Raw genomic sequence first — 27,443 nt, 5'->3', positions numbered from 1 at the left:
CCAAAACAAAAACTCAAAATAGGGGCTGGGTACAGTGACTCATGCCTGTAATTCCAGCATTTTGGGAGACCGAGGCAGAAGCATTGCTTAAGACTAGAAGTTTGAGAACAGCCTGGGTAACATGGCAAGACTCTGTCTCTACCCACCTGCCCCTCCCCAGCCTGCAGGGGGAAAAAATATGGACATTTCAAGGTGGTATTTGACAGCGTCACGGATCTGATCTGCAGCTGTGATCTAGTCTACAGCAGTTTTGAATATAAACCCAGTATTTTCCCAATGGAATAAATGAGATACATTAGATTGAATTTATTTAGATTATTTCCCTAGTTTTACACAAAGAATATGGGAAAGGGCCCTCTAAAACCATATTATTTGAAAATCTCATGTCTTACATTCACAAACTTTAAAAAGCAAAAAAAAGATACTTCCTAATTTGCCCAGTATTTTTTGTTTAAGTGAAGGGAAAAGTGTATCTTCAGGTATACATACACTAACATGAATCCACTTAAAACTAATATGGCTTATAGCAAAAAACTAAGCCTACAAGTTGAACAACTTATGAAACACATAAATTAGATGTAGATAATGAAGATGAGTGACTAAACATTTACATAGTAAAAATTCCTACATGGACAAATAAGAGTATTCTGTATAGAGTATCTAGGTATAAAATATTAACACAAAATTATGGAGAAGCCTGGTTCAAAAATGCTTATGTATAATAACGTCAAAATCTAGTTCTGAAGCTATTTTCTGAGTTTATTACATGGATTTACATACCTTTTCATTTTCAGTAACTTATTTTCACAAAACTGACAATGAGGTAATTGGGTAGAAAGTTGGAACAGAGTGGCAGAAATTGATACAATTGCTGAAGGAAATGAAAAAGAGAAATAATGAACTAAAAGTAGTGTAAGAAGTCCCAAGGTTCAAGCTTAGTGTTGAAATGTGAATTTGCAGTGACACCAATACAAAAGCTGTAGGATGATCTGCAGTACTCAGCACAAAGTAGAGGGTATAGGAACAAAGAAGGTTTAATTTAGTTCTAGGATTTTGCCAAGTGAAGGACACAGAGTTGAAGACAACTGTGAGAGTGACCTAACATGATCTATCATGAAATCCAAGCCTGAGAGGGAAGAAAAGACAGGAGAGGTTTGAAAGACTGGCAGAAAATGAAGGGCTTAAAATGGGTTGGAAGTTAAAGAGCAGTGTAAAAGGGAATGAGGCTATGAACATGCTAGGCTATATAATAGCCTGAAAACTACCAGGTTTCTGATGCTGAGAAATTCTGGGTTCACAAGGTTCATGGCATATCCAGGTTTTAGGAAGAAAGTGCCTAATGTTTGGCAAAGAGGTCAAATAACTAGGAGGCTGAGAGCTGAGGTCAAAAAACTACTAGGAGGCTGGGATATTAAATGTATTTGTTCATATGGACATATTATGTGACTGGATTGGGGGAGAAATAGACAGTAAAATAAGTGTCTAAGTCTTAAATGAATGCAAAGAAATGATTAGGGGTCAGAAGAGAAAACAGGCTCAGATGGCATGCAATAATGGTTTGGAAAGTGCACACTGAGGGGGCTAGGACGGTGGTCTCCTGGCCCTATATTAGTAGGGTGTGAGAGCCAGAAAGTCTTCTACGGAGGGAAAATAGCTTATTCTGGAAGTTAAAAAAAAAAAAAAAAAAAAAAAAAAAAGGAGGGAAGAGATGGAAGATTTTGTTGTCCCTGGTTCCAGGGCATATAGTAGAAAGGTCTGGGAGGAATAGTAACAAGATAGGTCAGAGGTATCCAAGTGGAGGAAAGCATGACAAGAGTATGGAATAAGACAGTTAATGAACCTAATGACCTAAGATAAACCTAATTCCATGAAATAATGGAGTTGAACTGTGCTTGACACAGTTGAATCCTAAAATAAAGTGCTTCTATACAAAGTCCCAATTCAACTTTTAATTAAACATGCTTCTAAATTTTTCACCTAAAGATGGTAAACAGATGTACCCAAATTCCCCATATTGCCAAACGCCTAACTTTGATTAACGTTAACACATGTTTGGCACTATTTCTGAAAAATGATCAAGTTTTAGGTTGATTAATCAAAATAATTTCAACTAATTTCAAATCTAAGATACCTTCCTACTGAGAGCATATATCAGCCTATCTCAATAATGTGAATTAGGTGGCTTCCTTCTGTCTCTTCACAATGTGATAAATAATTATCTGTAAGATACGGTAACAATGACTGAAATCTGCCAAAAAATACAGGATCTAAATTCTTTCTGATTTTATACTGAACAAAATATTTTAGACTAGAAATACTTGTACCCATCTTGCAATCCAAAAATATAAAGCTTATCCACTTGCATCACAGGCACACTTAAATTAAACTACTTTAGAACAGACTTTTCCCCAATCTCTTACAAAATACATTTGCAAAAAGCCTTAAAAGGAAGTACAGTTAGAGCGGCATATGTAATTGGCTTTGGCATCTAACATTACATTATTGCTAGGGCCTGGTATTTAACAGATACTAAAACTATTATAGAACTGCTATACTATAAGCAATGTAAAATTCAGAGAATTTGTGACTTAAACAGTATCTATAAACTTGCTAAAGTGATTTTATAAAAATGCATCACTTCCAAATATACCAGAAGAGTTAACTCTAAGTTTTCCTTCCCTTCAATTTCTTTCCAAATAAGTATACAGATATCAGGAACAAAAATCTATAAACATATAGCTATGTCACAATTAAGGTGTCAAAAATAATCACAACTTTTTAGACAAATCTATAATTATTACTACAAACATTACATGTAAATGTTCAAACAGAAATTCTATTTTCAATTTTGTATATGTATATATAGTACTAAATAGAATTATTCACAAGCACTAGAGATTTAACTCAGAAAGGTAAATCAGTAGTTATTTCAAAAAATTTAAATTATAATTAGCAAAGACACATTTGCTTCAACATGAAGTTTAAGACTTTAGAATAAGAAAAAATCAAAATAAACAAATTTAAGGAGCACTAATAGAAAAATCACTTATGATCTTTAAATACTTCAAAAGTCATTTTAAAAAGTCTCATCCAAAATCATGTACTGGTTTATTAAATTAAAGAACATCCATATTACAGAATACTAGATAATCATTTAAATATTCTAGAGAGTATTTCATGAAATATGATATGGGAAAATACTCATGATATGTAAGCACAGAAAATTACTTCTATAGGATGATTCCACTTTGGCATAAAGATGTATACCTTTTTGGGATTAATAATAATTTCTACTTCTTTCCTTGTTCTTTTCTATGATCTATATTACTTTATAATCAGAAATATATTACTTAAAATTACAAATTATGTTCTCTTACCTGAAGGTACTACAGCATCTTGTTCAATAATTCTTGCAGAAGCCAGATCACTGATAATATATTGTAACCTTAAATGTCTGAATACTGACACAAATGGTTTTCCTTGTTCAGTTTCAAGAAAGGCCATACCTTCAAAATCTATAAAAAACCATGTAAGTTAAACAGCCATTCTTTTCAAACCTATTATTCTTAAATGTTTTTGTGGACGGGGGATACGTACATTCATGTCTATTAGAATACAAAATAAGCTAGTTTTAAAGTTCTCAAGAATTTTATAAACCTTAGGTTTACAGATAAGAACATAAGGAGATTTATTTTAAAATCCCAGGAAATTAACTTTGGTCTTAATGAAACCCCCAGGCTGGGAATTCAGCTGTTTCTGGGCATTTGGCATGTATAGTGCAGCAAGTTGGGAAAGGAAGGCTTGAGAAAGGTACTTAGGATTACACATTCTCGCCAGAATCCCCCTCCCAAGACCTGAACAGGCCAGTGAAACTCTGGAGCCCAAAAGCCTCACTCAAGGATAAGGTACACAGGACAAAGAATATCTCTTAATTTCTTTTAACTTACATTTCAGCTACATGTAATGAACACTAGTTAATATATTAATTCTCTATTGAAATACAAAATAAGAAAGACACTGTATGGCTAGGCGTGGTGGCTCACGCCTGTGATCCCAGCTACTCAGGAGGCTGAGGTGGAAAGATTGCTTGAGCCCAGGAGTTTCAGCTTGCAGTGAGCTATGATTGCACCACTGCACTCCAGCCTGTGTGACAGAGCAAGAACTTGTCTCTAAAATAAGTAATAATGATAATAATAATAATAATAATAATAATAATACTGAAAATAGAATAATTTGGCTGGGCGTGGTGGCTCACGCCTGTAATCCCAACACTTTGGGAGGCCGAGGAGGGTGGATCACGAGGTCAGGAGTTCAAGATCAGCCTGGCCAAGATGATGAAACCCTGTCTCTACTAAAAATACAAAAAAAATTAGCTGGGTGTGGTAGTGGGCATCTGTAAACCCAGCTAACTGGGAGGCTGAGGCAGAGAATTGCTTAAACCCGGGAGGCAGAGGATGCAGTGAGCTGAGATTGCGCCACTGCACTCTAGCCTGGGTGACAGAGTGAAACTCTGTCTCAAAAAAAGAAAAGAAAATAGAATAATTCAAGTTTATGAAGTATATAATTTTTTTTCTTTTAGGGAGAATTTAAGGTTATTCCTAAAAATTACCCTCAGTTACATTCCAGTGTGCTTTCATGAGTCAGAAGGAAAGGTTTAGAGTTACTGCTATCAAACAGGTATTTGTGCATGAGCCCTAGTCTATGTTTTCTGTTAAACGACATATACCCAGGAGAGTATGTATACCCAGTCCTGTTGCTATTAAGGATAAGGAGAAAAACATGACAGTTGCCATTATAGACTATTATGTCTCAAACCATGCTTCACATGGAACACAGGTTTTCTGTAGACCAGAAGGTGTTCCCCACTAAAATATTTTTTTCCTGAAAATTGTAAAAAGACAGCCAAGTTAATGAAAAGAATTTCCACATTATCTCATATATTTTTTGTATTCCCTTGGCACCTGCCTAGAGTCAGCAAAGCAAACAAGAAAGCAGTAAATTCATTAAAAAATTAATAGTTAACTTCACTTATTTATACAACAGGTGTGTGACAGTGGATTTATATCTCTTGAGTTTAAAAATAACAACATTGGTTCCAGTTCATATGTTGAATTAAATGTGCCAATTTCAGGGGGTGTGCTGAGAATACCATTTTGTTTTTACAAGTGTTCTGTCACATGAACAAGATATAAAAATCTAATTCTGGATTGTCTCATAGAAATCTGGTGATTCTAACTCATGAAGCCTTTTCGTCACGGCTGTAGAAGAGACTGGCTCATTTACTTCTGTAAGAATTTATAGAACCAAAAAAAATGTTTTAAAGTTTCTTGCTGGACAACATGTGGCCATACTTATTCCATCAGCCAAATTCAATAGCAATCCTTAAGTATAATTGTGTAGAAAACTTTCTAAATTTCTGTTGTTTCTTGTAGTCCTGATCCATATAGATCTGAAAAGTCAAATAATTAAGAAAACTTAAAAGAAATATACAAAAATATATGGCAGGTGTGGTGGCTCATGCCTGTAATCCTAGCACATTGGGAGGCCGAGGCAGGCAGATCACTCGAGGACAGAAGTTCAAGACCAGCCTGGCCAACATGGCAAACTCCATCTGTACTAAAAATACAAAATATTAGCTGGGTGTGGTGGCATGCACCTGTAGTCCCAGCTACTCGGGAGGCTGAGGCAGGAGAATTGCTTGAATCTGGGAGGTGGAGGTTGCACTGAGCCAAGATCGCACCACTGCACTTCCAGCCTGGGTGACAGAGCAAGACTCTGTCTCAAAAAAAAAAAGACAGACAGACATATGCCAAAATATAACGAGTGAGGGATCACAGGTGATTTTTCTATCCTATTTCCTAAGTATGCATCTTATTTATAATTTTAAAACTATTGAAAATGACTCTGTAAAATCTTCATAGAAAAACAAGAGCATCAGACATACATTTTGGTTTGTGCAATCAATGTCTCCTTGAAAAGTTATCTTGAACTGTATACTTTCACACCTCAGGGGCTGGGAGGGAGAGCCTCAAGTGGGAATCCAGAAGTGGACCACAGCTTGCTTCTCTAGTTTCTGCCACTTAGGCTACAGGGCAATTTCTCTTTTGATTGATTGCTGTGGTGGATCTATCTGGAGCACAAATGATCATAAGGTTCTATCAACATTTGCCTAATATCTACTGTTTCTACTGAGTCTCTTTGTCTTTTTAACTTCTTCACCATCCTTGTCTCTTTCAGCTTTTCTCTCTCTTCTATTTAAATGCTTTCCCCTACTTTTCTCCTCTATAATTTCCCTAGTCCTTCTTTAATTGCCATAACGTAACACAAAAGTATAATTTAAGATACAAGTTTAGTATTTTTGTTCTTCAAGGAAATCAAGTTATATTTCACTGATATGGTTCTTTACACATTTTTACTTCAGGAACTTTATAGAAAATTAATTTATCTGGCTCTGAGGTAGGTAATTTGACTACATAAAATAATTCTATAAAATGTATTTAACTAAGATATAAAGAGCATGAAATTTTAAAACTAAGAATATCTATTCATCAAAAGACATTTTTTTTCCTTTTGAGACAGGGTCTCACTCTGCTGTCCAGGCTGGAGTGCAGTGGTGTGTGGCCATGGCTCACTGCAGCCCTGACACCCCCAGGGTCAGGTGATCCTCCCCCCAGTAGCTGGGAATACAGACAAGTACATGCCACCACGCCCTGCTAATTCTTTTTTTTTGAGACAGAGTTTTGCTCGTTGCCCAGGCTGGAGTGCAATGGCGCAATCTCGGCCCCCTGCAACTTCCGCCTTCTGGTTTCCAGCGATTCTCCTCCTTCAGCCTCCCTAGCAGCTGGGATTATAGGCGACCACCACCATACCCGGCTAATTTTTGTATTTTTAGTAGAGACAGGGTTTCACCATGTTGGCCACGCTGGTCTCCAACTCCTGACCTTGTGATCTGCCCACCTCAGCCTCCCAAAGCGCTGGGAGTACAGGCGTCAGCCTCCCAAAGTGCTGGGAGTACAGGCATCAGCCTCCGTGCCAGGCTGCCCTGCTAATTCTTTAAACTTTTTGTAGGGACAGGGTCTTGATATGTTGCCCAGGCTGTCCTTGAACTCCTGGTCTCAAGTGAGCCTCCTGCCTTGACCTCCCAAAGTGCTGGGATTACAGGCATGAGCCACGGCACCCAACCAAAAAGACATCTTTAATAAATTAAAAAGATAACCTACAAACTGGAAGTGCAGAACATATGTATGACAAAGGATTAGTTATCAGGAATACATAAAGAATGCCTACAAATCAATAAGAAAAGACAAATCTGACATTAAAATAGGAAACATACCTGAACAGATATCTCACAGAAGAGGAAACATATGGCTAATAACCATATTAAGAGTCATTCAATCTCTTTAGTTATAAAGGACATTAAAATTAAGGCCACAATGTGACATAGTTCCATAACAACTAAAACAAAATGATATATTATACAGTGGCGTGTTGCTGCTAGCTCATAGGAGCTGTGTGCATCTCCTTTCTCATTCAGTGATGTCATGTTGGTAGCTTGCAATCAATCAGCCATGATGGGAAAATTTGTACCATGGGAATTAAGAAATGGTACTAATCAAGGATTATTTTTTCAGAGTCAGCTTATTAGCACACCACTATGTAATATATGTTAAGACGTATATACATGGTGCAATAATATATATTTATAAAGCAAAAGAATAAACATGAAGTTCAAGATAGTGGTTAGGAAAAGTCAGAGGGACACAATAGAAAAGAAGCACATGAGTTAAGACTGAAGTTACTGATGTTCTAGTACTCAAAGATTAGGTCACAAAGGCTCAACGTATTAAAAATAAACCAAAAAGGTGGCCATAAACTAAGAAAATCACGAACTAAGGATTTATCCAGTTCTTTGCACCTGACAGCCGTAAAAAATACTTTTTCTAGATATGTTTTAGCAAAGTAAAAAATAACATACATACATTTTAACTTAGTATACACATGTATTTTTTTTATATTGCATGCCCTCCTTTGCACAGATAAGACCTTATAGCAGTTGATCTTAACCAATTTTAGATCAGTCTCCACTAAGAATCTGACGGAAGGTATGGAAGCTCTCCTCTCACAAATGTATGCAGCAGCACACACACATATCAAATTCTGTACCCACTTTTGGGAGTCAGTGACACATGAAAGCCTATCTATGGCCCCTATGTTAAGAATGGTTGCCTGACGGGGTATAGCTTGTTAGAGAAAACTCAGTGTGGTCAAGACAAATGCAATCAACAAGATCTGTTAGTGATAAAATGGGAAAAACAATAGTTTTTGGCGATCAAGAGTATGATGACAGTTCAAGGAGTAACAATTCAGATAATGATAGTTAAGGTATTTTTCTTATCTAGCCTTGATTTTCTCACTGTAAATGAGGGGTGAAGTAGATAATTGCTAAGGTCTTCTCCAAGCTCTAAAATTAAGTCTATAAACAAGTCAGGGCCTGATTTCATTTAATTAATTAATTTATTTATTTTCTGTTCTCATGGGGCCTGATTTTAACAAATTTCCTTTTAAAAGACAAGTTCTCAAAAACTTCAGGCCTACCTTTCCTCTGTTTAGAAAACCAGACATCTGTTTCTGTCAAAAGCTGTTTTAAAGATCCATTCCAAGAAGGCACAAGTTGAAGGAACATCCACTAAGTTAAAAAAAATTAAATAAGAAAACAATTATGAAATTTCATCATTTTATGATTTTACATTTTCAAATTGCTTTCACCTTAAAATATAATAGCTAAAAAATTTAACTTCTACTTTACCAGCAATTGCAAGAAAGAAAGTACAACTATAAGCACTCAATTTATCATGGCATTATCATAGTCCAATGGCTGGGTGCTGTGGCTCACACCTATAATCCCAGCACTTGGGAGGCCAAGGTGGGCAGATCACTTGAGAGAGGTTTAGACCAGCCTGGGAAACATGGTCAAACCCCATCTCTACACACAGAAAAAAAACTAGCTGGGCATAGTGGTATGCATCTGGAGTCCCAGCTACTCAAGAGGCTGAGGTGAGAGAACCTTTTGAGCCCTAGAGGTCGAGGTGCAGTGAGCCATGATCGCACCACTATGTTCTAGTCTAGGTGACAGAGCGAGACCTTGTCTCCAGGAAAAAAGAAAAAAAAATCATAGTCCAGTGATAAAAATTGGATGTGTGTGCTAAGGAGTAAGCCAATCCTTCAGAAGTATTTATGGTAACACACTGGAGATTACTGTATTAAAAAGGTAAAGGTTTAATATATATGTATATTAATTAGAAATTTTATACTAATTTATTCTACTAACAACTCAATTTCACTAAATACTATATGAGATTATAAAAGCAAGAAATGAACATGGGAAAAAGGAGCTTCTTTGTCTTACTGCTGCTGAGATAATACGCAGAGTAGGTAAGAGCAAAAACTTTTAAATCCTGAACCTGGCACTTAAGAGCCGGGCACATTACCTAGTATCTCTGGGCCTTAATTTCTTCATTTGTAAAATGAGCATGATAATATGTTTACCTCATAGGACATTAAAATATTTAATATACATAAATACTTAGAATGGTGCACGGCACGTAAACATCCTGTAAGTATTAGTACTTACCATTACTGGCAAAAAGCAGTTTTAATAACAGAAATGAATGCCACTGTGACAACTCACTGCAGGCTCCACCTCCTAGGCTCAGGTGATCCTCCCACCTCAGCCTGCTGAGTAGCTGGGACTACAGGCACGAACCACCACACCCAGCTAATCTTTTGTATTTTTTGTAGAGAGGGGTTTTTGCCATGTTACCCAAGCTGATCTTGAACTCCAGGCCTCAAGCGATCCGCCAGCCTGGGCCTCCCAAATTGCTGGGATTACAGGCGTAAGCCACTGTGCCTGACCTCTGCACCAATTTTTTAAAAGATTGGATAGCCCAGATAGTAAAGTTCCTTGAAGAAAAACAGTAACAAAATTTCACCTCTACCATAGAAACAAACAAACAAAGAGTCCCTATGAGATAAGCTAGAAAGTGTCTCAGTCTGAAGTTTCACAACTGTGTTAAATACTCACAACACTGTTTTGCGGACAAAAGGGTAAAGGCAGGATTATGCAGTAGGAAGAGGGCAATGGACTAGGACTCCCAAGACCCAGTCTCTGCCTCAAACCTGCTCTGAGTCTCACTATCTACATGGAAGAATAATGGCTGATCTGTGTCTTCAAAGAGTTGTGAAAATAAAATTAGATTTTTTAAATGTTGAAACTTTTCAAAAGCATGAAGTAAAACATATGCCAGACACACAAACAGGCCTTTAAAAGAAAAATTTCAACATTTCTTAGAAAAAGCGTGTGTAAAAATGCCATCATTAACTGAAGCTCAACTTTGAAAACGTTCCTAAAAACAATATAAAACATTTTTGATTATGTAAATAAACAAATAGCAATAACATATTTTTTGTTAAAGAAAAGTCTGGGAAAAAACAGAAAAGTATTCCTAAAATAGAAAAGTACAAAAAATAAAGTTAAAATCACTAATGATTCCAAATCCCTAAATATAAAGACTTTTTAAGGTTTCGGCCTATTTCCTTTTCCTACATTTATAACCATCCCTTTATTACTGGATACTGTTTCCAGTTTTTCACCATTATACGCATTGCTGAGGTGACATCCTTGTATAATATGACATCATATTACGTCAGTACCTTTTTTAGAGCAGTGTATATATCCATCTCCACTTGCATCACAAATAAGTTAGATGAACCAATGAGCTGTTTCATGACATTTATACTGAAAAGGATAAATAGAGGGAGTGAGCTTATCTTTAGGCACAGGCTAAAGGATCCTGGTAGAAATAAAAGCTTTAAGTCTTTCTTGTAAAAAAATATGTGGAATTAAAAATGACAGCAGTCCTTCTGCCCAAGACAAAGAATCTTAGAAAACAATCTATCTGGATACAAGGATACTTTTAATTCAGATAGTGCAATCTATCTGGATACAAGGATACTTTTAATTCAGATAGTGTGCTGTGAAAGGTCCTTTTCACACTGATAGGGAAACAAAGAGCTCTGATCTGCTGATTAATCAAGTTAAAGCAAGGTTCCGGTAAGATAACTTTAAGTATGCTCTGATAAAATGGCAGTCTTCCTCTTTTGCCTTCCACCACTCCACTTCTACGTTTTGTTTTGTTCTTTAAAAAAAGGCCAGGCATAGTGGCTCACATCTGTAATCCCAGCACTTTGGGAGGCAGGAGAATCATTTGAGGCCAGATGTTTGAGACCAGCCTGGACAACATGGTGAGACCTCGTGCTACCAAAAAAAAAAAAAAAAAAATTAGCCAATCATGTTGGTGTGCACCTGTAGTCCCAGCTACTCGGGAGGCTGAAGGGGTGGGAAGGATCGCTTGAGCCCAAGAGGTGGAGGCTGCAGTGAGCCAAGACTGTTACCACTGCACTCCAGCCTGGGCAACAGAGCAAGACACTGTCTCCAAAACCAAAAAAAAAAAGACACTAAAACAGCTATATCGTCAAAGTAATCTTTAACCTCTAGGCTTAAGAGAATTGCTTAGTCATAAACTATGGTTTTAGTACTATTCAAGACAATAAGATCAAGAAACGTGCTAGTTATTTAGAGTGAAAATGATATCACCAGTTATTTGTTTTGTTTTGCTTTTCCTTTGTTCTTTCTTTCCTTTGAGCCATAAAAAGCCAAGAGAGCACGTGGGTTTTTAAGAGGATCCTGCTCCTTTTTCAAAAAGTTCAGTGAGAAATTAGAGTCATCCCCCTGTATCTGTGGGGGATTGGTTTCAGAACCTCCTACAAATACCAAAATCCTCTATGCTCAAGTCCCTTATATAAAATGGCATAGTATTTGCATGTAACCTATGCACATCCTCTCATATACTTTAAATCATCTCTAGGTGTTCTTACAGTACCTAATACAATGTAAATGTTATGCAATAGTTGTCATACTACATTGGGTTTTTTTGTTATTATTTTTTATAGTTTTTCCCCCAAATCTTTTCAATCGGCAGTTGGTAGAATCCACAAATGGAGAACCCATGGATAAGCAGGGTTGACTGTATTAAAGTGTTTCTAACGATTTTCAAATCAAACATTCTACGGTGATTTATTTATGCCTTGACATCACCAGGTGATGAAAGTCTCTCACACTTCTCTACCAAATTATCTCGTAAAGGCAAAAGAAAGGAAAAAAACCCCATAATCTAGGAGGTGGTCTAACCATAAAAAGTAACATTTCTATAAATTGTATCTTGAGAGTTCAAGGAAATTTGAATTCCCTCTATTCCATAATGTATTTAAACATAAAAATATTTACCTCTTCCCCACCTCCTCCCCACCAAAAAAAAAAAAAAAATCAGTAAAATTCACATTCTGGGAAGCTATGTAATGTTTGACTTTGGTTTTGTACATTTCCATCAGAATGTCACATACTCTCGGACACATTTGTATCCTTGTCTCAGAAGCACTGCTGTCAGGGAAATGCAAGCCAGAAAATGACTGTAATGCCAACCAGCCTTCAAAAGTTAACTGCTAGCCAGATTTTCTCAGACCCATCACAAATATCTTAGTCCCATTACTACAAATAAGCTCTTTGACAGCAAGAGACCATGACAAAATCATCTCTGCATTCTTCACAGCCCCTAATAGAGTATCTTTACATATAAAGGACAGTCAGGAAGTACTTGCTGCAGGAATAAATGGATAATATGCGTACTTAATCCAAAAAGCCAAACTAAGCTGGGTGCAGTGGTATGTGCCTATAATCCCTGCTACTTGGAGGCTGAGGCAGGAGGACTGCTTGAGCTCAGGAGTTTGAGTCTAGCCTGGGCAACATACCAAGGCCCCCATCTCTTTAAAAAAGAAAGGCTGCTCTGCAGCTTGGGTGGTGGGCAGGGTGGGCAGTCCTCATTGTCACCGCCATATTTCTTGTAGGTTTTTAGAACCCTGGAATCCATTTCTCACGGGTGACTGCGGTCCTATTATTCCAGCTTGGACTACATAGTCCACAGGTGATGGAGAAATCTTGGACCTCTGGCTCCATCTCCAGGACCTCTGGCTCTGCGCTGTGCTGCGTCTGACCAGGTCCCGCTTGAGGACGAAGGCGGCGCAGTTGACTGCAGGAGCCTCTGCAGCCCCAGCCTGAAGCCTGCATGGGACCCTGTGTGGCGCTAACAGGTTTTTTTTAAAGGAAGATTGATATTTTCTCAAAGAGAGGGGATGTCACTATGTTGCCCAGGATGATCTCGAACTCCTAGATTCAAGCAATCCTCCCACCTTGGCCTCCCAAAGTGCTGGGATTATAGGTCTAGGTTTTCCCAAATCGCTTTTCTGGTAGAGAAACCCTGAGGACTGATTGGCTTTTGCTTGTCTAAAACCATGGCCTGTGAATTTGTAACATTCAGGGACATGGCCACAGACTTCTCTCATCAGGAGTGGGAATACCTTGACCTGGTTCAGAAGACCTTGTACCAGGAGGTGACGGTGAAGAACCATGGTAACTTGTCTCACTCTCACTGAGGCTGGAGAGCAGTGTCGCAATCACAGCTCACTGCAACCTTGACCTCTATGGCTTAAGCAATCCTCCTGCCTCAGCCTCCAGAGTAGCTGGGACTACAGATTTGGATTCAAGGTGTGAAATAATCAGAGATGGAAAAATATACATTTATAGGAGACACACATTTGTTACTCCACATCAGAGAATTCATCCTAGTGAGAAAACGGATCAACATGAAAAGTTTTTGAAGGTAAAAAAAAAAAAAAAAAAAGGCCAAAACAGTTTCTTCAAACTTATTTCTCAATAAAAAAGATGATTTTTAAAATATAACTTTTAAATTCTCTAACAGCCTGGCAAAACCTGAAACTTTTCTATAGTCTTATAACAGTAATGCATTTTTCGGTTAAAACAGTAGACATAATATCCATTATATTATTCACAACAAAGAAATAAGTTTGCACAGCATTTCTTCAGTTTATGGATGTAGTCAAGCCCTTTCATTAAATTGTTTGCTTTTTCATAATATATTTTTGTGTTCTACAAAAATGTTATGTACTTTAACAAATGATAAACAATATTTTAGGATGACTAATTATGAAGTTACTTGAAATTCAAATACCTGAGTTCTTTAAAAAGTTCAACATTCTGGTGAGTCATCAAATTGTTTAGAAGCCATTCAAGGCACCTGAAATTAAAATATATAATTATTACATTATATGCCATGTATTTACAATTTATTAAGTAGGACTTATAGTTAAAATAAAATCAGATTAATCTTGCCAGAACATGCTCAAAACTTTTAGCTTAACAATAGGAAATTTAGTATTATTTTTGTCAGTGGATATTATTAAGAGAATATTTCCTTTATATTAACGAGAGCATTTCCAGTTTTAAAACTTCATTTTGAGTTTGTGTTAAATAGTTTATTAAGGGGTCTGCATACTAGTATAACCTTCTTTAAAATCTCAAAACAGGTACTGCAACTCTCAAGAGTTAGAAGGACTGTCAGTCTATCAGGCCTACTTCTTAAACAATTTTAATAGAAAATATACTATAAAGTGCAGTGGCATGATCACGGCTCATTGCAGTCTTGAACCTCCTGGGCTCAAAGAATCCTCTGACCTCAGCCTCCAGAATAGTGGGGACCACAGGTGCATGCCACCATGCCTGGCTAATTTTTAAAATTTTTTGTAGAGATGGGGTCTCCCTACATTGCTCAGGCTGGTCTTAATCTCCTGGGCCCAAGTGATCTTTCTGCCTTGGCCTCCCAAACCACTGGGATTACAGGTGTTAGCCACCACACCCGACCAAGGTGACCATGGTTTTTATAAGCATGTATATAACCCACCTATGGTCACTTACAAAGACGACACTTTTGAGGAATTTACTAATTAGTCCAAAAGTTAAAAGGGGCTTTTTATTTAATAAAATTCCATCCCCCTATCCTATTTTTCCTTAATTCTTTCTTTCTTATAGCTATACATTCTCTTAAGAAACTAAAGCAACCAAATTCCTAAAAGTGGGATAGGAAGAAAAACAAGAAAGGCAACTCACTTTTTCTTTACAGAATCTAATCCATAGGTCCCTGCTGATGTGTAATAGCCACATACAGTTTTCACATTAACTGTTTCCTTCATTGTCTCACCACACTGCTGTATTAAACCGTCCTGTAAATATAAATAAGCACTGGAAAGGCCCATTTCACGTGGGAAAAATTAGCTCTGACAGCTTTTACATATTAAAAAGTAAAAGAAAAAAAAAAAGAAGAAAGAAAAGAAAGAAAACTCATTAAGTGCAGCAAACCTAAGTTTTTTTTTTTTTTTTTAACAAGTCCAATAAAAATACTGAAAAAAGTTCAGCAAGTATTCAACTAAATACTTGGAATTTGAAAATGGAAGGTGGGGGGGAGTAGTAAGGTAGAGAATGAATACTGCTATTCTTTTTCTTTTCTATTCTTCCCCTGTCTGAGACCTTTGCAAATTTCTTTAGCAGCATTTTGTCTGTTTTGCCATTTCTTTTTAAATTAAGAAGTCTACATAGTCAGTTAACCATGTGATGGGACTAAACTAACAGTATGCATTAGCAGAAAGTGATCAAGTTTAAAATAACTACAATATCTAAGAGATAGACTTAAAACAAGTATATTATTATTTCAAATGATTAACATTAAAGTTTTAACCTAAAATGTTTATATAGGTTTTAAGTGAACTAACTTTAATATATGGGAAGAATACTACTTTTCATTCAAATTTCTGAAATACATTCATCATGCAGGTATATTAAGTTAAAGAGTTAGTAAATCATAAAAGTAAGCAGAAGGTGAATTTAGAACAAAACCAAAAGGACCAGAGTTAGATAATAAAGTATACTTATTGGAAGTAAGTATTGAAAGGATCAAAACATTTTGAAAATCAAATGATCTCAACCAAGGATATTTAGCAAGCTATTAATACTTCAAATAAATCAGTACAAAAATACCACATAAAAGTAAACAATTTTTTAAGATTAAAATAAAACATTGACTCCATTAGGATTTTAAACTTACCTGGAAATCATTCTAGACTCCTCCCCTTTCCTCTTAACATTTAGTCTATCACCAAGTCCAGTGGATTATCCCTGAATCTCTCTGGTATCCACTTTTTCCCCTCCAAGCTTATTGCTACTACCCTACTTTCCTCCCTTGGACGAATGCAACAAGTTTTTGTCTCTAATGCTGTACTCATCTTTCCTTCAATTCATCTGTCACATTGTTACTGAAGTATTCTTTCTAAAACATAACTTCGTCTTTCCCCTGATTAAAATATTCCAAAGGTACTGTGTATGCTAAACTTCTTAGCAATGTATAGATGTATTTTCATGATCTGGCTTCTGCCCCCCTCTTCTGCAATCCTTCTTATGTTTATGTGGGAGCCATGTTTCTGTTAGAGTCTTGAATCCTCCATTATTTCACATCACTAGATCTTAGTTTACTCTGTTCTCTCTGTCTGAAATGCTCTTCCTTCCCCTCTTCTTACTTTGCAATACAAACACACTTTCAAGACTCTGTGTGAAAATGTAACTTTCGTATGTGACACCACCAGGATGAACTGACCACTCCCTTCTTTATCCATTCACTAAATGCTACAGGATGTTTATTATCATACCTATAATATTGAACAGCTCTTACTTTACCTTTGGGTTTGTATATCAACCCTCCCTCCCCTCTCCACACATACATACTATGTTGTGAACTTTTTGAAAGTAAGGATTACGTCTTAAGTTACCTTTGGCTTTCTGTGTCTAGTTTGACACAGTGCTCAACACACTTCTCTTCAATGAACAAATCTGTCATTCTGCCAGTAGATTAAAATACATATATGTGATTTATACACAATTCTTTCAAAATTAAGAGAAATTTAAATAGTAGGCATGCATGTTTATTTGAACCCATGAATGAAATTAATTGGTAATCATAAGCCATCTGCTTAATAGTCAAGTCATTAATGAAATCTGTAAATGACCTTAGACAAGTACGTTTTTTCCACATTATAGTCATACTAAGATATCTACACAGAAATGGCCTGCATTCATTTTATGCAGACATCATGACTCCCTCGGTTGTAATAAATTGCTTTTGGTTAGGCATTTTAAATGATTTATAATAAATGTCATATTTATACATTTCATTTTTATTTAAAAACTCCAAAAAAGCTAAGCTTTATTTTTGTTTTTGGAGTACACACTTTGAGACAAAGATTATTATTCTGAACCTTTCTTCGAATAACGTGCATACTTACCAACTGCAGCAAACAAGCTGCTGCCAAAATGGCAACAACTCGACTGGGCTTTATCAAGACATCATCTCGATACAGTGAACCAAATGCAACCTGCAGTGCTGAAAGCAAGGTACACATGTAGGATGAAATAATATTTATATCTATTACAAGTGTTATACAAATAACAACAACGACTGTCTTCACACACAAAGACATCCGTCTAAATGTGGCATGCACATAAAAGGATAACAGAAGTATCTCTAATTAAAACGCTAGTAATGGTTACTGGTTGACACTGTTAATTTAATAACAAGGTTATAAATTTCTGTTTATTCTACCAAATCTAGCTGCATTCTTCTAACATGTAATCTTGACATCAGTGGTCACAACCAAGATGCCTTGCAAGAAGTTGTATAAGATACTCCTCAGTAGACCAATCGTTAAGTACAAATACGCAGACTCAAAGATAATCTTAACCCGGCTGCTTTCAGCACTCCACCACTGAGAAATGTGGTACAGCTCCTGAGTCCTGTCCATGCCACACTCATTCCCAGCCCCCACAGTGATCTATGCCTGTTCATCCTTCCTCCACTGCCACTGTTATGAATGTCCCACATGGTTTGCTTTGTAAATATTCTTTTTTTTTTTTTTGAGATGGAGTCTCGCTCTGTCGCCCAGGCTGGAGTGCAGTGGCGCGATCTCGGCTCACTGCAAGCTCTGCCTCCCGGGTTCACGCCATTCTCCTGCCTCAGCCTCCCAAATAGCTGGGACTACAGGTGCCTGCCACCACGCTTGGCTAATTTTTTGTATTTTTTTAAGTAGAGATGGGGTTCACCATGTTAGCCAGGATGGTCTCGATCTCCTGACCTTGTGATCCACCCACCTTGGCCTCCCAACGTGCTGGGATTACAGGCTGTAAATATTCTTAACTAAAGTATTTCTTTGCCTTTGTATCGCACCAGGTACTTCCATGTGGACCACCAATGAGGGGAGCAGCAAGAGCACTGGAATGGGAATGAGGAGAGCTGTAGTCTGACACAGGCTCACTAAACTGCTCTGAGATCCAAAATAAGTCCCTTAACTCCTCTGAGCCTCAGCTTCCTCAACTAAGGATTCTTTTAGCTCTAAAACAATATTTTTATTTATTGTTCCCAGAAAACATCTTCATACATAGGGAATAATCAGTATTATTTATCAGATTTTCTATGTAATTAAAAAAAAAAATGGTCATACTTTTCCTTCCTCCATCCTACATCTTCCATATCCCAGGTGGGCATATTTACAAAGATAAGTAAACAAACTGATAAGGCCCAAATGACAAAACAGATTAGTGATAAGATGGACAGAACTGATAAACTATGGTGTAAATCAACATCAAATTATCACCTTGAGGTGATAAAAGGAGTTTTCTAGACTACAAGGCTGGAAGGAATTATTTATCTTCTACCAGAAGAATAAGATTATGTTTTTACGATTGTTGCATAATAGTAATTATTGTGGTAGTTACCTTCTACATCAATGTTCTGGTCAGGAATCTCCAGTTCAATAATATTCATGCTGGATTCTTTCCAAGAACCACTGAACATACTAGAAAAGTAGCCAGACTTAAACAAAAAAAAAAGTCAACGATTATCAAGTACTTTCTGTGTCTTCCAAATTATTTGCCCATTTCTAATTCTAAGCAACTATTCTATCCATTAACTAAACTCATCCATTCTATTACTTCAACAGAAAAAGAACTGCCAAATATGTCCACAGGAGAAAAGAAATTAAGATAAGGACACTATTAGGTGTATCAAAATATACTTTTGGTTTAGTACTATTTTTGACAAAAAACTAAAATTCTTATATTACTATCTAAATTGAATTCATGTATATTATTTGAACCTGGTTAGCTTTTTACTCAAACTGTTGAATCTTTACTGTACACCTGAATGGCTATAAAGGACCAAACCAGTCCCAAGTCAGCAAAAACAGGATGATCGCCAAAGAAACCAGGGAAAATCCAAAATTTAGTTTAATGAGAAATGTCCAGAATGGACCTGAATTCTTGGAAAGGTACAGAATGAAGTCTTTAGGTATCTGCCAGATAGCACTCCTCATAATTAGAATTACTTTGAAATGGATCAAATATTAACTAATTTATTTAAAAATGTTACTGAGTACTTAGTATGTAGAAGGCACTGTGAATATAGCAATAAACAAAATCGATATTGTTTCTGTCCTCAGGGGGCTTATATTTTAGCATGTGGCTTGAATTATAATACATCTTCCACGAGGGGTAAAGTTTTAACAGAGGTATTCTTACCCTCAAGTTCACAAAACTGCTTTCAGATATTAAAAAGAAACAACATGAATCATACCCTGAAGTTAAAAGCAATATTCTGATATAGTATCTGGGCAACATACTTCAAGCCAAAATAAATTTGTTTCAAAAACACATTTTAAAACATGATTAAAATGTTAGAGAAGGCAATTCATTTTCAAATACTTTTACTGAAAAATTTTATACTATGCTGTCTTACCAGTAATTATTCTCAAATGGTAAAGAGGAAAAATGTAAGTTCCAAAGGATAAAAACTGTTGTTTTATTTCTAGTGCCTCAAACAATACCTAGCTTATAGATTTGATGAAAGAAAATGAATAAAATATTTGGGCCATTAGAGCAACATTGTATTCTATTTTGAAAGCTCCGATTTTTTTTTTTTTTTTTTTTTTTTTTTTGAGACAGAGTCTCGCTCTGTTGCCCAGGCTGGAATGCAGTGGTACGATCTCAGCTCACTGCAACCTCCATCTCCCAGGTTCAAGCAATTCTCCTGCCTCAGCCTCCTGAGTAGCTGGGATTACAGGTGCCCAACACCACGTCAGCTATGAAAGTTCTGAATTTTTAAAGTGGGGTGGCAGGTAGTAATATTTTCAGTACAGAAATCTACTTAGTCTATATACTTTTTGGTGTTGTCTTTACCTGCATTTTTCAGGAGAGAACTTTCTATTCACACTCAATGTGAACTACAAAGCAACATTTCAGATGAGTTTATCCAATTTAAATAACCATAAGCAAAATAAACACTACAATCTTAACTTTAATGTTAAATATTTTTTCCCCAACTTTTCCCCTTTTATCAACAGAAGGCACCGAAAAAAGCATTTTATGAAGTAATGACAAATACGTAGTATTAGGCTAGTCTGATACTGAAATATCAAAATCTCTTTCTAGACCAAACTTAGTTTTCACTAACAATGTTTGCCATTTTTCTTACAGACTGATCAAATGAGAGGATTTAACCACTATGGTGTTCATGCAAAAGATTACTGTGAAGTGCAATGAGGAAGAACATGACTTAAGAGTTTCAGTGACTACCCTGTTACTCAAATAGAAAAAATACTTACTTGACATAAATATATTTTGTGTAAGCTCCATTCTTCTCCTAGAGCACAAATCTTAATGTCACTGTTTTCACCATTCAAAAATAATGTTTGATAAATATATTTAGATGTACTCTTTAATTTTTTCCTGTTAAAAGAAATGAAAAAGTCACATATTTATATAAAACTGAATGTTTTACTGATTTTGCATATATTTCTAAATACTCCTTTTATTCAATTTCTATTAAATAGAGTCAACTTACCTATTGTGTAAAAGGATAGGGAGATAGTATATATTCAAATTTTCTTGTGTCTAGAAGAGTACATAAGAAACTAATAATAGTGGTTATCTCTGGGGTCCTCTATGCACGGGAGAGATAGTGGAGAAAGGGGGGCAGCATGGGAGGCAGACTTTTCACTACACATGTTTTAGCAATTTTGGACTAATTTAATTACCCATTCAATAGATTAAGAAGTTAGCATGTTGATTTTTTGCTTATTTCCTTATTTAGAAACCAGCACTATGAAGGAGCTCAAATAGCGCAATAATCTGCAAGTAGGAAATGGAGAACAAGAGTAAACATTTCACCTACCCAAGTAATTTTAAAATAATTTACATTTAATCTTATTTTGGTACCAACCTATTCTTAAACTACTTAAAATGTTTTCCAGCCACTGGACAAACGGTTTGCAACCTTAGATCAAAGGTTTTCTTTTCTTTTCCTATTTGTTTTTTAAAATTATTTATTTATTTATTTTAGATGAAAGGTTTTTAAAACTGCTCAAAGGAGAAGTCTTAGGGGCCACCAAGGAGAGCTAAGGAGTGAACTGTGAGCATCCCATCTAACTTCAACCAGAGCAGCATCACCTATTCTATCTGTAAACATACTGGATTTCTGCACAGATTTAATTTAAAGGAAGACTTGACTAAAAAAATAAAGTTTGAAAATCATTGCTCAAAATGATCCAGTAACTAAGAAAAGGCCTTAGGCAGAGGCTGATCAATATCTTAAATTCCTGACCAATTCTGAAAGCTTTCCTAGCACATAAAACCTTCAATCTCTTTTTAAAAATGAAGTAATTGTTTCAGATGACATCCTGAATTGGCGAATTTAACACCTGTGTACTTAACACCTCTTCCTAGCCGACAATAAAAACAGCACATGTCTTAGTGGTAACAGACTTGGGTTTGAGTCCCAGCTGCTCAGTTATCACAGCTGTAAAAAGAGGACATTAATAGTATCCACTTCACTCGTTATGATGCGAAATCAAGAGACAATGTAGTTTCCAGTTCCTGACGGCAGAATGTACACATGTTGGCTTCCCATCCCTCCCCAAATTACATTAAAGATTAAGAGTACAAAAAAGGAATAAGTCCACACCAGGAAAAGGTGAGGGTAGGCTCATCACTTGATGAGAGATTTATACAGATCTGAAAGTTAGAAAACAAATTCAAATGAAAAAGAACAGTGACAGCCACAGCCAAAAAATACATTATGGAGGACTAGGATGGAGGCTAAGCTTATCTGCCCATCAGAACCCTTGGGAGAAAAGAAGGATGAGGTCTCAGGGAAACAAAGGCAGAAGTAAGAAGAGGGGCAGAAAATGGGGAAACTAGTGCCTTCTCCACTCTATGAACACAGAGTATAGATAAGGAGAGTACAGATACTGAGGCAAAAAGATTCCAAGGTTTTTCTAGAAATAGCACAAAGCTAATGGAAGATCTAAGGCTGTAGTGTAGCTGCTGGTGCCCAGACAAAGCAATCCTCATTCTGAAATTTAAAGAATCTGTGGCCTGTTCACTCCCAATCCATTCACCCTAAGTCATGGTTCCCAAACCGTGTGTGAAATTCACCAGTTCAGGATACCATCTGAACTTAGAGCACCACAGCCAACTCAGAGAGGCATGTGGAGTATTTTAAATTCGAAGGAAACACAGTAACATCTTTCAGATACCATGCAATCTGCTATCATTAGGTTGTTTGGCCCTAACTATGAGGTATTTCTTTTGGACCAGGGGTGAAAATTACTAAAATATGAAATGTGCTGTGATCCATGAAAGCTTGGGAACCTCTGCTCTACAAAGCATGCCCCACCTATAACCAACTTCGTAGTCTTCTTACTCAAAGAAGAGGTACATTGGAAATAGATCTATTTCCTCAATTAAAACACCATACACCAGTTACTCCTTCTTAAATATAAGTGGACAAGCAAGGAAGGATCACCCACCATGAGGAAGAATAAGAGCATATCAGAGAGACAGAGAGACTCCCTCCACCCCTGGAAACATATAATTCAGGGAAAAGAGAGGAAAAAAACACCCTCTCACCAGTATACCTAGAGATCTGAGATTATTATATTTACCCCATAGACTGCTATGATAAAGGATCACTCAGAACAAGAAAGAGCTTTTAGAGACTAAAGACATGATTACTGAAATTTAAAAAAACAAATAAACCAAAGAATAGTTTGTTTGTTTTTCTTCCTCATGTTGGGTGATCCTTCCTTGCTTGTCCACTTATATTTAAGAATGAATAACTGATGTATGGTGTTTTAATTGAGTAAATAGATCTATTTCCAAGGTACCTCTTCTTTGAGTAAGAAGACTACGAAGTTGGTTATAGGTGGGGCATGCTTTGTAGAGCAGAGGTTCCCAAGCTTTCATGGATCACAGCACATTTCATATTTTAGTAATTTTCACCCCTGGTCCAAAAGAAATACCTCATAGTTAGGGCCAAACAACCTAATGATAGTGATGAAAAAGTTAAAGGAAATTTCCCAGAACATAAAGCAAAAAGACAAAGAAAGGAAAAAAGAAGAGACAGGCATAATCCAAGAAATCCAAAATCCAGTTAAGAGGCATCCCAGAAAGAAAAAATAAAGATAAGAAGCGAAAGGAAATTATGGAAGAAATTAATGGAAAAAAATTTCCCAAAACTAAGGTAGTATATGAGTCTCCAGATTATAAGGATCCAACAAGTACCAAGGCCATTAAAAGACCCACACTTAAGCACATTCTAATTAAATCCCAAAATACCAAAGAAAAAGTTCCACAAGTTCCAGAGAGCAAAAATGGTCACCTGAAAAGAGAATTACACCAGAATCAAATTTTTCATCAAGACTGTAGGCCTGAAGACAATGAAGCAGCGTCATCAAAGATATGAAGAAAGTTACTTTAGATTTCCATACCCAGTCAGAGGATGAATAAAGTAAAAGAGACTAAATTTATATTTAGATACGCACAAATTACCCCCTTTTGCACCCTTCCTTGGAAAATACTTGAGGATGTATTAAATAGTTCCTAAAATAAGCGAGAAAGAAATGCAGGCTACACAAAATAGTGGATTCAATCCTAGAGATGGGGTGAAAGTAAGTCCCAGCATAAGAGTAGACAAATCCAGATTGGAACAGGAGGATGGAAGAGGTCTAGGTTTTAGAGAAGGATTCCATGAAAGTGTGTTTCAAAAGACTTTTCTGTGTTTTTTCAGAAAAACCCGAAGCCATGATGAAGGAATATTGTTATTTTGACAAGAGTGGGGGAAAGGCCATTATAAACTCTAGGACAATAAAAAAGCAATACAAAAAAAGGCACTGTCCAAATAAGATAAAAACAAAAGCAGGGCCTGACTTTAAGCACTTGATGGAATACAAGAAAAGATTCCATATGACTGTGAGGTTAGAAAAATTTCTCCCTTTGAACAGACAAGCAGTTGTGACACTGGACCCATCAAGTATGATTTATAATCCTAGCATACTACTTAACTCTTCTGAAACAATATTTACTTAGTTATAACTATGTAATGTCGTTTCAATTTTTTAGAGACAAGCTACGGACAAAACACTCAAGATCTGGTTGTAGAACAGTGTGGGTTTTAACAGTCTCGTAAATGTAAAAGTAGAACATGCAGTTGACAAAGGTATGAGGTGGAAGTTGGGCCTAAAAGCTAAAACTTCTCATAAAGTGGTCTGTTGATGTGGGAGAGCACACCAGACAACCTCAGGAAGTATATACTAGGGCCAACACACAAAATTCAACATCTTAATACTTTCTCTTTTAAATTTTTATTTGTTTAGTTTTTGAGACAGGGTCTTACTCTGTTGCTCAGGCTGGAGCGCAGTGGCGCAATCTTGGCTCACTACAACCTCCGCCTCCTGAGTTCAGGTAATTCTCCTGCCTCAGCCTCCCAAGTAGCTAGGAATACAGGCGTGCACCACCAAGCCTGGCTAATTTTTGTATTTTTTGGTAGAGGCGGGGTTTCACTGTGTTGGTCAGGCTGGTCTCAAACTCCTGGCCTAAAGTGATCTGCTTGCCTTGGCTTCCCAAAGTGCTGGGATTACAGGCGTGAGCCACCACGCCTGGCCCGTCTTAGTATTTTCTTACACCCTGCATCCGTATTGGGCTGAATAATCCAAGCATCTTCCAGTAATATACAGACACTAAATTCTGATATGCATTTTCCGATAAAGGTTTGCCTTAAAAACTTTCCATTCCAGTCCACTCATGTAGTCTAGGAGTTGGTACACTTTTTCTGTAAAGGTCTAGATAGTAAATATCTTTAGCCTTCTGGGCCAAAAGGCCTCCAAATAATTTTGTTGGCATCCTAGTAGGCAGTGTCCTACTTGCCAGCCTCAGCTTACCACACTTGAGCAAACTTTTCCACCATCCAGTGGGCTACAGCCACACCTCCTTCAACATCATCTGAATCTTAGCTTGGGAAAGGGGTGGGGGCACCTATTCCAAATTTGTTCCTTCTGTGGCTATTCTGCCTCAGCCTTAGAAGTACTGACTACTACATGTATTTTCTAGGGATCTCTTTACCTTAGCGTTTTGTCCTCAGTAGTTAATTCTCTGTGCCTTGTTAATAATGTTTATATTAAATTTCCTGTATTCAAATTGCTGTGTGATTTCTCTCCTTCAAATGCACTGTGACATATATTTCAATAATTACGTTAAATATAAGTGGTCTAACTACTAATTGAAAGGTTAGATTGTCCTGTTGGACAAAAGAAGCAAGACTCAACTATATGCTGTTTACTTGATATCTGTTTTAAATATACACAGGTAAAAAGTGAAAGGAGGGAAAATAAGATATCATTCAGACATTTATCAAAAGAAAGTGGCTGATGGATACACTACAATCCCAGACTTCACCACTACTTGTTATATACATGTGAGAAACCTGCAGCTGTACCCCCTAAATATAAATAAATAAATGTATATATGTATGTATGTATGTGGTAGTGGCTAAATTACTAGGGATAAAGAAGGATGAACATTTTGTTATGATAAAGGGGCCAATTCATCAAGGAGACATATTTACTGCATGCTTACATTCTAGACATTGTGCATTTGTTTGTTCTCATATTTGTCAAAGCCTAAAAGGCAGGTATTTATATCTCCAATTTACATATGAGGGAAATAAGGCTATTAAGTGCAGAATACAGACAAGAAGTCAGAATTTTTTTTTTTTTTTTGAGACAGAGTCTCACTTTGTCACCCAGACTGGAGTGCAGTTGTGCGATCTTGGCTCACTGCAACCTCGCCTCCCAGGTTCAAGCCATTCTTCTGCCTCAGCGTCCCGAGTAGCTGGGATTACAGGCAGCTGCCACCACGACTGGTTAGTTTTTATATTTTTAGTAGAGACAGGGTTTCGCCATGTTGGCCAGGCTGGTTTTGAACTCCTGACCTCAGGTGATCTGTCTGCTTCAGCCTCCCAAAGTGCTGGGATTATAGGCATGAGCCACTGCACCTGGCCAAGAACTCAGAACTCTTAAAACTATGCTATAGGTTGGCAATGGTGGCTCACACCTGTAATCCCAACACTTTGGGAGGTCAAGGCAACAGGATCACTTGAACCCAGGAGTTCCAGGCCAGCCTGGGTGGGCAACAGAGTGAGACCTTGTTTCTACAAATAAAAAAATTAGCTGGGTGTGGTGGTGCATGCCTGTGGTCTCAGCTACACAGAAGGCTGAGGTGGGAGAATTGCCTGATTCTGTGAGGTCGAGGTAGAGTGAGTCATGATCCCACCACTGCATTCCAGCCTGGGCGACACAGCGAGACCCTGTCTCAAAATAGAGAAAAATTTTTCCAAAGGAAAAAAAAACTATGCTACACTGACGCTTCAAAAAGGTTACAGGGTCAGGCATGGTGGCTCACACCTGTAATCTCAGCCCTTTGGGAGGCTTAGGTGGGAGGATCGCTTCAACCCAGGCGTTTGAGACCAGCCTGGGCAATATAGTGAGACTCCTTTAGAAAAAAGCTCCAAAAATCAAACAAACAATTAAAAAAGTTACTGAATAGTATTCACAGTAGGGGTACATTTTTGTATAATAAATACAAATATTCATACAAAAAAAGGTACAAAAGGTTTTATAAACCAAACTATTAAGTTTTTAATCTATGATTCCTTTTTTACAATATATAACACTTGTATAGCAAAACCTTTTTGAATCTGCTTTTAAAGTTTAATTTTAGGCCGGGTGCGCAGTGGCTCACGCCTATAATTCCAGCACTTTGGGAGGCTGAGGCCAGCAGATCACCTGAGGTCGGGAATTTGAGACAAGCCTGGCCAACACGATGAAACCTGTCTCTACTAAAAACAGAAAACATTAGCCAGGCGTGGTGGTGCGCGCCGGTAGTCCCAGCTACTCGGGAGGCTGAGGCACAAGAATCGCTTGAACCAGGAGGTGGAGGTTGCAGTGAGTTGAGATCGCACCACTGCACTCCGGCCTGAGTGACAGAGCAAGGCTCTGTCTCAAAAAGAAAAAGAAATCATTTAAAAAATTTCATGTGTGACCCT

General features: G+C 37.1%; 1 protein-coding gene across 6 annotated transcripts in view; it reads right to left on the bottom strand.

Annotated features, from left to right (window-relative positions):
• The window catches only part of GMCL1 (germ cell-less 1, spermatogenesis associated), a 51,725-nt gene that overhangs the window by 23,047 nt on the left and 1,235 nt on the right, over positions 1 to 27,443 (bottom strand). For 2 of the 6 annotated variants that reach the window (XR_007079574.1, NM_178439.5), the window contains exons 2-9: positions 20,668 to 20,791; positions 18,785 to 18,881; positions 17,299 to 17,396; positions 15,077 to 15,189; positions 14,142 to 14,207; positions 10,711 to 10,795; positions 8,596 to 8,686; positions 3,378 to 3,515 (exon numbers count right to left, since the gene is read on the bottom strand). Coding sequence is in view for 5 of the 6 variants with exons in the window: in NM_178439.5 (NP_848526.1) it covers positions 3,378 to 3,515; positions 8,596 to 8,686; positions 10,711 to 10,795; positions 14,142 to 14,207; positions 15,077 to 15,189; positions 17,299 to 17,396; positions 18,785 to 18,881; positions 20,668 to 20,791 (812 nt within the window). In the remaining variant the exon portion in view is untranslated. Of the gene's footprint in view, positions 1 to 3,377; positions 3,516 to 8,595; positions 8,687 to 10,710; positions 10,796 to 13,470; positions 13,754 to 14,141; positions 14,208 to 15,076; positions 15,251 to 16,785; positions 16,856 to 17,298; positions 17,397 to 18,784; positions 18,882 to 20,667; positions 20,792 to 27,443 lie in introns of those variants that run through there. The other 4 variants (XM_011533033.3, XM_011533034.3, XM_017004705.2 and 1 more) reach the window with 4 other exon arrangements.

This window comes from Homo sapiens, chromosome 2, assembly GCF_000001405.40.
Source record: "Homo sapiens chromosome 2, GRCh38.p14 Primary Assembly".
In the NCBI taxonomy this organism is placed as follows: domain Eukaryota; kingdom Metazoa; phylum Chordata; class Mammalia; order Primates; family Hominidae; genus Homo; species Homo sapiens.
Note: the sequence above shows the minus strand (reverse complement) of the source record. Positions and strands in the feature narration are given on the sequence as shown.